General features: G+C 49.1%; 1 long non-coding RNA gene across 1 annotated transcript; it reads left to right on the top strand.

Annotated features, from left to right (window-relative positions):
• Positions 1 to 7,813: 7,813 nt before the first annotated feature.
• LOC105373034 (uncharacterized) lies at positions 7,814 to 10,084 on the top strand. The gene is made up of 3 exons (XR_922648.3): positions 7,814 to 7,871; positions 8,160 to 8,358; positions 9,419 to 10,084. It is a non-coding gene; the product is annotated as an uncharacterized LOC105373034 (long non-coding RNA).
• Positions 10,085 to 10,362: the final 278 nt, after the last annotated feature.

Consider the following 10,362-nt stretch of genomic DNA (forward strand, 5'->3'; position numbering starts at 1 on the left):
CAGGCCACCTGCATGAGAATCTTCATCTCAAATCTGCTTCTAAAAAAGCCAACCTAAGACAATTGTGAAGATTAGATGCAATTACATGGGTCAACCAGTGCCTGGCATATGGAAGGTGCTTAGTAAAAGTGAGCTAGTACGGTTATCATTCCTCCAAGAGGCAAGGCTGAATGGAGACCCTAGTGGCCTCAGGCTGTAACGGTATTAACTACACCACCCCTGGGAGAGTTCACTCTCAACATTCATTTGTAATGAATGAATGTAAACCCTCAGCAAGGAGGAAAGAAAAATGTGAAACCTGGGTGTCCATGGACACAACTGGTCTCATGAATAAGCCATCAAGTATGAGTGGTTTAAGGGACTCCAAAGCTCACAACTTTCTAAAGTCACAGCTTGCCCCAAGCCCCCTGCTCTCTTCTGACAAGGTTCCTGAAATGCCTTTAGTGTTGTTAAGACTGGGGTAAGCCGGTAACTGGGATGAGACAGGCAGGGTCAGGATCCTGCCTCTACCACTTACAGAAAGTATGTCCGAGGGCCAGCCACTTGTTCTCCCTGGGCCTCATGTTGAAATGATAGAGGTGGGGCCTCATGGGAGGTGCTTGGACTCTTCGTTCTATGTCTTGGTGCCCTCTTCTCAATAATGAGTGAGTTATCACTCTATTAGTTTAGGCAAGAGCTAGTTGTTTAAAGAGCCTGGCACCTCCTCCCTGCTCTTGCTCCCTCTCTCACCATATGCCACACCTGCTCCCCCTTTGTCTTCACCATGAGTAAAAGCTTTCTGAGGCTTCACCAGAAGCCAAGCAGATGCTGAAGCCATGCCTGTGCAGCCTGCAGAACTGTGAGCCAAATAAAACTATCTTGTTTAAAAATTACCCAGCCTTAGGTATTCCTTTATAGCAACACAAACAGACTAATACAACCCCTACTCAAGATTGGTTCTTTGGAGTTTTGGACATGGCTTTAGAATGAAATGAACCTGGGTTCCACTCTGGGCTCTGCCATCCACAAGAGAAGTGTCAAAATCAAGCTCACATCTTAAGCAGAACAGGGCTTGGTACCAAGGAGTCTCCAGGTAGTACGGGTGGTCTGTACCCTGACCCAGGCTCACACTGTGCTTAAGTACTTTTGCACCATTAAAAGAAGTAGCCACAAATTCATAGTGACAGAAAGTACCACAGTGGTTGCCAGGGGCTGGAGGGAGGGGAAACAGGGAATTGGGGTTTAATGGGTTTCACTTTAGTAAAAATGAAAAAGTTCTGGAAATGAAGGGAGGTCATGATTGGACAACAATGTGAATATAATCAGTACAAGTGAACTGTACGCTTAAAAATGGTTAAGATGGTCAATTTTGTGTTATGTGTATTTTACTATGATTAAAGAGAGGGAAAAAAAAAAAAGAACATAATCTGCCAAAGACAAGGTGGCTGTGATGTGTGACTGTACAGTGGCCCAAAAGGGCATGGCTCAAGGAGCCCTCAAGAGTAGCATCTGAAGCAGCCACTGGGACCAGGCTTGCCACCCTTTCAGAGGGGTGTGAGGTGCAGGGCAAAGGGTCTGTAAAGGCTGGCAGGGAAGTGGGAAGCAGTGGAGAGCCAGGACCAGCCCTGGGCACCCAGAGGGGTTAGGGACCCTGCCACCCCTCCCAGGTTTCCAAACAAGGCCTGTGCCTGCCTGGGCTCTGACAGTCAGCCAACAAACAGGCATTTCCAGGTCTGCACCAGGCCCCGGGGATACAAAGAGGAGTGAGAGTTCCTGCCCTCCCTGGATCCTGCGGGGAAGGCTGACAGATACACCAATCCTGTGTCACGGGAACTGGGGATTGGGGGGAATGATGGGCAGGGGGCATCAGGGTTATCTGAGAAAGCTTCCCAGAGGAGGCGGTCCCTGGCTGAATTGAAGAAATTGCTGGGAGCTTCTCAACAAGAGCATTAGAAGGGAGTTGGGGGCACGAAGTGGGTGCTCATGTCAGGAGAAAAATCCACAAAGGCCTCTCATATGCACTCTGCGCCCTCCTCTCATTTTTCCAGGGTCCTGCTCCCAGCTGTGCAAGCTGCAAGGAAGAACGAGCCCCCTCCTCCAAGGCCTCGACGGTCCACTCAGTCACCCACTTAAGAATTCACCAAATAAGTAATGACTAAGTCTGACTGGGAGAAAATGAAAGCTCTCTTGGAGGGGAAAACAAGTTACTCATGCAACCAAGAGCATATCCTTGGCACCCTCCATGAGTGGAGCCACGGCAGGAGGGGCAGACAGGAACAAACGGTGGCCATGAATCATGCTGTGTGCGAGCTCCTTTGTTTCTAAGGCATGTGGTTTCCAGAGAAACCAGGGAACACTGCCTTCAGGTAAACACGCCCACCACCCATGCTTCTTGGAACAGGCTCTGTCCTCCAGGAGCCCCATTAAAGAGGCCTAGCTGCTTACATTTGTCAGTTGTACTTCCACAGGGGGGATTTCAAGTGCTAGCTGGCCAAGTCATCCAACGGGTGGCAATGGACCTTCTGTTGGCCGGGAGCATCCTACCCCGTGCCAGGTCCCTGGTCCCACTCTGCCCACCACCCTCTCACCCCCAGAAGAAGACTCCTCTGGTTGATGAGTTTGGCAGAAGAGTCTTGGTTTGGTCAGTTCAGCCCTTCTGCTCATGCTGACTCTCCCTCCTCCTCCTCTCCCTCCTCCGCTTCCTCCTCCCCCTTCTCCTCCTTCCCCTCCTCCCCCTCCTCCTTTTCCTTTCCCTCCTCCCTCTCCTCCTCCTCCTTTCCCTCCTACTCCTCCTTCTCCTCCTCCTCTTCCTTCATCTTGCCCTTTCCGATTCACTGTCATCAAGCTTGACTTCCCCAGTAGAGAGTTTTACAGCCATGATAACACAGTCCATCTTCTGGAGCTTAAGGCACTTTTACATATTATCTCATTTGTCTTGGCAGCATCTCTGTAAGGTGAAGACTTGATGCAAATAGTAAAATGGTGAGGGCAGGCTGAGGGGCAAGAGCTATAAAGAGACTTTAGTGGGGTTCAGTGCCAAAGTAGGGAAGGACTGGGGGGTCATGGGACTGATGCTCCCAGAGGACCTACTTAGCCGGGACACGGAGCTCCATGACCCCTTCCAATGAGCCTAGAAATGGGCTGCTTTAAAAACAGGAAACGTGGCCAGACGCGGTGGCTCACGCCTGTAATCCCAGCATTTTGGGAGGCCGAGGCGGGTGGATGACCAGAGATCAGAAGTCCAAGACAAGTCTGGCCAACATGGCGAAACCCCGTCTCTGCTAAAAATACAAAAATTAGCTAGGCATGGTGGTGCGTGCCTATAATCCCAGCTACTAGTGGGGGCTGAGACAGGAGGATGGCTTGAACCTGGGAGATGGAGGTTGCAGTGAGCCAAGATCGTGCCACTGTACTCCAGCCTGGGCAACAGACTGAGACTCCATCTCAAAAAAAAAAAAAAAAAAAAAAACCAAAAATGTGCTGTGGAATCAATGTGAAGGAGGGAATTAACTCTGCCTGGGGCATGCGCTCTGAAATGACAATGTGACATTTTTGCTTCACCTCAAAAGATTAGTAGTATGTTTCTAGAAAGACAGGAATGTGCTGGACAGAGAGGCGCCAATGTGCCTGCTTTTTTGGGCACCTGGTGCTTGATGGGGGCCGTGGCCAGTGAGAGGCCTGGCAGTCAGAAGACGTGCTTGAATGTCAGTCTGCAGGAGAGAGGAGCTGAGGGAGGATTTGAAAAGCAGGGAGGTGGGACCGCAGGTGTGCTTTCTGCTAAGTGATGTGCCAGGAGCCAGCGCTGCCCTGGCCCAGGGAAGAGACAAAGAGGGCCTGCATTAGGTCAGGCTCCTGGGAATGAAGATGAGATTCTTCACAGTTCGATGCTGTGAGCATATCACAGGGTTTAGGACATGGCCCTGCCCACAAGGAGCTTGTAACCTGGGGAAATATGAGCTGTAGACCGTGACCCGTTCAAAGGCAATCAACTTAGAGGGGGTATCCCTGAGTCCAACTGAAATAAAATTTCAGAGAAAGGAAAGATCAAGTATGGGTAAGATAAGTCTAAGAAGTCACATGAGGGAGAGAGGTGAGTGTTAACCAAGGGGGGAAGGAAGGCATTTCTTTCTTTCTTTATTTTATTGAAGGATGCCAAGTTGAAAGGAAAGCATTTAGGCGGACGAAAAGGAGGAAGGGCTTTCAGGGGAATGGGGAAGGGGCTGGAGTGAAGGCCCAGAGTTGGGATCAAGTGAGATCTCTTCTGTCAGCATCACATGTGTCCACAGATGGCCCCTTTTTCCTATCAGCCTGCCCTCTATCACCCCATCTTAACCCACACACCTCCCTCTGTTGATATTTGGTAGAAAATAATGAAAGCCATTTTGTGTGTATGTGTGTGTAATATATACATATTTTAGAGACAGGATCTTGCTCTGTCACCCAGGCTATAGTGTAGTGGCACTATCAAGGCTCGCTGCAGCCTTAACCTCCCAGGCTCAAGCAATCATCCTGATTCAGCCTCCCAAGTAACTGAGACTACAGGCATATGCCACCATGCCCAGCTAATTTTGTTCTTTTTTTTTTTCCTTAGAAACAAAGTCTCACTTTGCCACCCGGGCTAGTCTTGAACTCCTGGTCTCAAGTGATCCTCCTGCCTCCACCTCTGAAAGTGCTGGGATTGCAGGTGTAATTAAGCACTGTGCCTGGCCTGAAAGTCATTATACCACTCATTTTTATTAAAAAAAGTCTACTGTGGTTCCTTTCTCGGTGAAGGAATATGTGACTCATTGGGCATAGAGGGGGCCCAGGTCCCTCAGGAGGAAGATGGAAATTTTGAAAGCCCCCAAACACAAACTTCTACCTGCCTAGTTCTTTCTATCAGCAAATTTAAGCCCCAGCCTTATTTCTCATGCCTGGAACTGCTTGAGAGACACCAGCTGGCCCAGGGCACCTCAGAGAGCTTGCAACATATTAGTCCTCAACAATTAGTTGTTGAAAGAATGAATGAATGAATGAATGAATGAATGAATGAATGAATCAGAGCCCTTTCTCTCCCTTCCCCTGCCCATCACAGGCAACTCGCGGTGGTTCTGCCTCCCAGCTGGAGGGTGGGGTAGGGTGCATAATATTTTTATAGATAACAAAATGGGCTGGGTGTGGTGGCTCACGCCTGTAATCCCAGCACTTCGGAAAGCCAAGGTGGACAGATTCCTTGAGCTCAGGAGTTTGACACCAGCCTGGGCAACATGACAAAAACCCATCTCTACAAAAAATACAAACATTAGCCTCGTGTGGTGGTGCACGCCTATAGTCCCAGCTACTCAGGAGGCTAAGGTGGGAGGATCGCTTGAGCCCTGGAGGCAGAGGTTGCAGTGAGCTGAGATTGTGCCACTGCACGCCAGCCTGGGTGACAGAGCAAGACCTTGTCCCAAAAAAACAAAAACAAACCAAAAAACCCCCCACAAAGTGATGCTGGTAATAGCCACCCTCAACTCAGACTAAATGGAAATGACTCTGTGTCTCGGGCCATGGTTTCCTTATTGATAAAGTGGAGGTAATTATGTCTACATACTACTTGGGTTAATGTAAAAGTCAAATGTGAAAATAGATAAGAAAATGACTTATAAATTAAAGGGCACACCCCACATTAGAGGGATTTCCATCTTGGTCTATGCCTGGTACAAGGCCCTATTCATCTGCAGAATTAAAAAGTATCTGCGGATGCAGTATAAACCATCCTTTGCTTCACAGAACATGCTTCAGGTGATAGATACAGTTACTGCCCTGTCTCCAGAGACCTTGTCTTACTTCTGTGTCCCCAAGATTTTAAACAAGCAGTTAATGAATGCACCTGAACGAATGAAAATAATGAAAGCCATTCTATCTACTCAGCTTTGGCCAAATGCTCTTCTAGGTGCCTTACTTACATCATATCTCACTTCCTCAACAGCCCTGTGCGTAGGGGTGTCCATGTTTTACAGCTGAGGAAATGGAAGTTCTGAGAGGTTGTTAATAATATTGACAATAATAATATCCATGATTGCTAACTTTCACTGACCATTGATTATGTGCCAGGCACTGTCTAAACAGTGCAACACATCATCCCATTTAACCACCACAACAACCCTCTGAGGTCGTGCTAACAGAATTCCCATTTTAAAGATGAGGAAACTAAGACACAGTCAAGTAATGCATCAAGTTCACACAGCAAGTAAGTGACTGAAGGAGAGGATGAATGGGCACTAAGAAAGCATGTGTGATCAGCAGAAATAGGAAGTCCTTTCAATCCCCATCTTGCACAGTCCGATCCCTGAAGCAGAGGTCTGTGGCCCTGAGTGGGCCTGGGCCCCAGTGCCTTCTCCAACTCATCTGGAGGAGGAAATCACTGTGATTGCTCATGCGTCATGTCCTCCCACTGTGGGCACAACCCCCAATGCAGAGCTGTAGCCCTTTAGATGACGAAGGGCTCTGGGAACGGCTCCAGGGGAGGAGAGTTAATTAGTTCACAGCAAATAGAGCAGGAGCCTGATTACTCCCACTGCAGGAAGTTGATGACTAGTGATAAAGGCTGAGCAAGCCCCAGAAAGTTCTGTCCTTCTGCACCTGCACAGGTAGGAGGCTAGGGTCTCTCATTCCCCCAGGGGCCAGAACCACCACCCAGACAGGGCTTAAAGGAGCCTCCCTTGAAGTTGCTCCTGAACCACCCCACCCACCATTCACTGGATTACATGGCGACCATCAGCCATCTTCATATGGGTTCCTACCTCACCCTCAGGAGTCGGTAGAGGACAGAAGGCTGAGTTGGCCCTCAAGGCCCTGGGCTTCTTGTCTTCAATCCTTTTTTTTTTTTTTTTCTCTAAATAGAGACAGGGTCTCACTCTTTTGCCCAGGCTGGAGTGCCATGGCGCAATAACAGCTCACTGCAGCCTCGAACTCCTGGGCTCAAGGGACCCCCTGCCCCCGCCACCCTGCCTCAGCCTCCCAAGTAGCTAGGACTACAGGTATGCAGTATCATGCCAGGCTATTTTTTGTTTGTTTGTTTTTAATTTTTGTAGAGACAGGGTCTCGCTGTTTTGCACAGGTTGGTCTCAAATTCCTGGCCTCAAGTGATCTTCCCACCTCAGCCTCCCAAAGCACTGGGGTTATAGGTGTGAGCCACCACACCCACTCTCCATGATTCATTGACTTGATACTATGAGAGACCTATTTGCCCTTTCTAAGGTCTCAGGACACCCCATCTATGGAAGGCACCAGGGAGGGCCTAGGTTTGGAGGAAGACAGTCTAGGCTCAAATCTTGGCTTTTCATTTACTAGCTGTGTGAGGTTGGCCAGATTTCTTAACCTCTGAGCACAGGTTAAGTTTTCTTATTTAAAAAAAAAAAAAAAAAGGGCCAGGCGCAGTGGCTCACACCTGTAATCCCAGCACTTTCAAAGGCCAAGGCAGGTGGATCATGAGGTTAGGAAGTAGAGACCATCCTGGCCAACATGGTGAAACCTCGTCACTAATAAAAATACAAAAAATTAGCTGGGTGTGGTGGTGCGTGCCTGTAATCCCAGCTACTCAGGAGGCTGAGGCGCAAGAATCGCTTGAACTCAGGAGGTTGAGTTAGCAGTAAGCCGAGACCACGCCACTGCACTCCAGCCTGTCGTTGCAGTAAGCCGAGACTGCACCACTGCACTCCAGCCTGTCGACAGAGCAAGACTCCGTCTCAAAAAAAAAAAAAAATAGAAGAGTAAAACTAATGTTGAAAGAACTCAGTAAGACAGTATATATAAAACAACTATCCAACACAATATTACTCAAAAAAATTTTTCCCTTCTCTATTTATAAAATAGGATTAATCTTGCCTGCCTCTTCCTACCTCCCAGGGCCTGGGTGCCAGTGAACAGAGGTATGTATCCAGTATGAAAGTGCTCTGTGACCCATTATTTATAGGGAGTACAGCTTCCCTGCCATGCTTCAGGGAAGGTACAAGGTGGACCTCTCAGCGCTGGCTGGCCTCTCGCGTGTGTGAATGACTGAGGGCCCTGTGTGATGATTTCACTAGTCAGCTCCAAAGCAGGGAAGACAGTGAGATCTCCAGCCTTACACTCCCGTCTCTCCCTGACTGTCAGGGAGGCACCTCCAGCTCTTGGCAAACCTCAAGAGAGGTGAGAGTCCTGCCCCTGTGCCGTTGCAGGGAAGAACCTGGCCCCGGGAAGGCAGCCCAGAAGACCAGGATGTCAGCCCCTAGAGATGATAAGCTAGGCTGGAGCAGAGAGGGGAAGCCTCTCTGAAGACCAGTCACGTAAGCCAGAGATGGTCAGAGACTGGGAGGCTCTGGGCCTGTGGGAAGAGGCTGCAAGCCAGCCCAGGACTCTTGGCAGGTTTCCTGGCAGGTAAGAGACCATGCAGGGGCCAGCTCACCTGGGCTCCTGGGATCCCCACCTGCTGCAGTACCAGGGGACCTGGGGGGCAGGGACAAGTCCCTGGGAGGCTGGGGAACACAAGGCAGGCTCCAGGCTCAGCGGTGGTGGTACAGTCCGAGACGGCACCGTCCCAAGACAGGGTCCCAAGTGTGAAGACAGAGCTGTGCTGGGAAGAAGATGGAGGATGGGGATCGATGGGTTGGAAGGAGGCTTGTCATGGAGTTCCAAGCAGGCACCAAAAACCAGAGGGCTCGAGGCCAGAGCAGGACCAAGGTCAGACAACTGCCTGTGTCCTGCTCCTCTCTCTTTCTGACAAGCCGGACTACAACCTTGGGCAAAGGCACTCACCCTTCCCTCTCAGCACCATTTCCTCATTACAGGGCCCGAGAAAATAGTAATTATCTGCTTCAGTTTCAGAAAGTCTTTAAATAATTAACATTTGTGGAACGGCTTTGAACTCCTCGGATATGAGCTGCTGTGAAAATATTATTATTGTTTAAAAAAATAATACGTCTCAAATCATGAGCCGTTGCTAAAGGGTCTGTTATCCTTGGGGGTAGCTGTTTGCAAACTGATTAATTAGAACTCAATTTTTCAGACTTTTTAATTTAGATGTTAATAAATTCAATAATTTTATCCATTTATTGTACTAGATAAGATCCTTTGGGAATAACTTCTCATTTACAATAGTGACCTGGGCGAGAAGACTCAGAAACTGTTATATAAATGCCTGAGATAGGAAATGATGGAGATTGCACTATGAATAAGCAATCTTGCAGGGCTCCAAATTATCAGACCCACTACCCGACCCAAATACCACCACTAACTTGAATTAATATTCCTACAAGAAACATAATGCTTGCATAGTCTGATTTTCTGTTTAATTTCTCGACCCAACCATACTGACTTTTGCATTTCATTGACTTTGCCTCAATCTTTATCCAAAGGAAGAAATGTACAGAAGCAGAGGGAAAATGATTTCAGTTGTGTCTGTCTCCCCTTCCCCTTTGTCTCTGTCTCCTGCTCCCAGGCTGAGAAGCACGCCATCTGGAAGGAGAGACAGCCCCCAGCCACCAGGGGCCTTGGGTACCGGCACAGGAGGCAGGGAAGAGACCAGCCTACTGCCATGTGAAGGAGGGCACCCTTTCTCTGCATGGAGATGTCTGGAGATGGTGCCTGGGAGCTAGGGATGGTCAGAGATTTGGGGAAAGAGAGGGCTTCTGCCACATCCAGGAGGGTTAGCTCACAGCCCACTTTAAACTCCAGCCCAGAAACTCTCTGGAGTTGTCTCCGTCTTAGGCCCAGCCAGCAACACAGATCTGCATGGGGGATTTTATCATGGGGTGTCATCTTTCTCAAAGAGCTCAACTCCAGGGCCTTCTGGGTTTCTAGGACTATTTAGAGAGGACCCCTTCCCTCCTCTGAACGTGTTTGTCCAGCCTCAAAACCTCCGCATGGAGCTAAAGGCTGGGGCTTCCATTCAGGGTTCCCCACCCCTCTCCTCTGCTCCAGCCCTCTCCTCCCTCCTGTCACCTGGCCTCTGCTTTCATTCCCTTCCTCAGCCCATTCTAATCTGCAGGCTCTCCTAAGCCAAGTTTGGTTTCTCATTCCAAGTATACCCTAACTCCCTAAGCAACAGTAAAGATATGCCCATCTGCTCTCAGTTACCTGTGCCGAGATGGGAGGCAGTAGTCAGGACTCACACCAAAACCATAGGCCTTGCTCTCTGGAATGTGTTGGCAATGGTTTTATAATCTCCATTCACAGCTGCCTTTGTTAGGTCACTATTAAAATGAACTTCATTCTGCGAGCACGGCCCTGGTATGAGGTAGGTGTTTTGTGGGGATACATGGGGGCCAAGTGGCACACCCTCGAACTGAGTACCCTGTCACACGTGGGTCATGGAGCCAGCTCTACCCAGCTGTGTTCTTCCTCAGGTCTAGTTTTCCTGGGGAGGAACAAATAGCACCAACA

Source organism: Homo sapiens, chromosome 1 (assembly GCF_000001405.40).
Source record: "Homo sapiens chromosome 1, GRCh38.p14 Primary Assembly".
NCBI classification, from domain to species: Eukaryota; Metazoa; Chordata; class Mammalia; order Primates; family Hominidae; genus Homo; species Homo sapiens.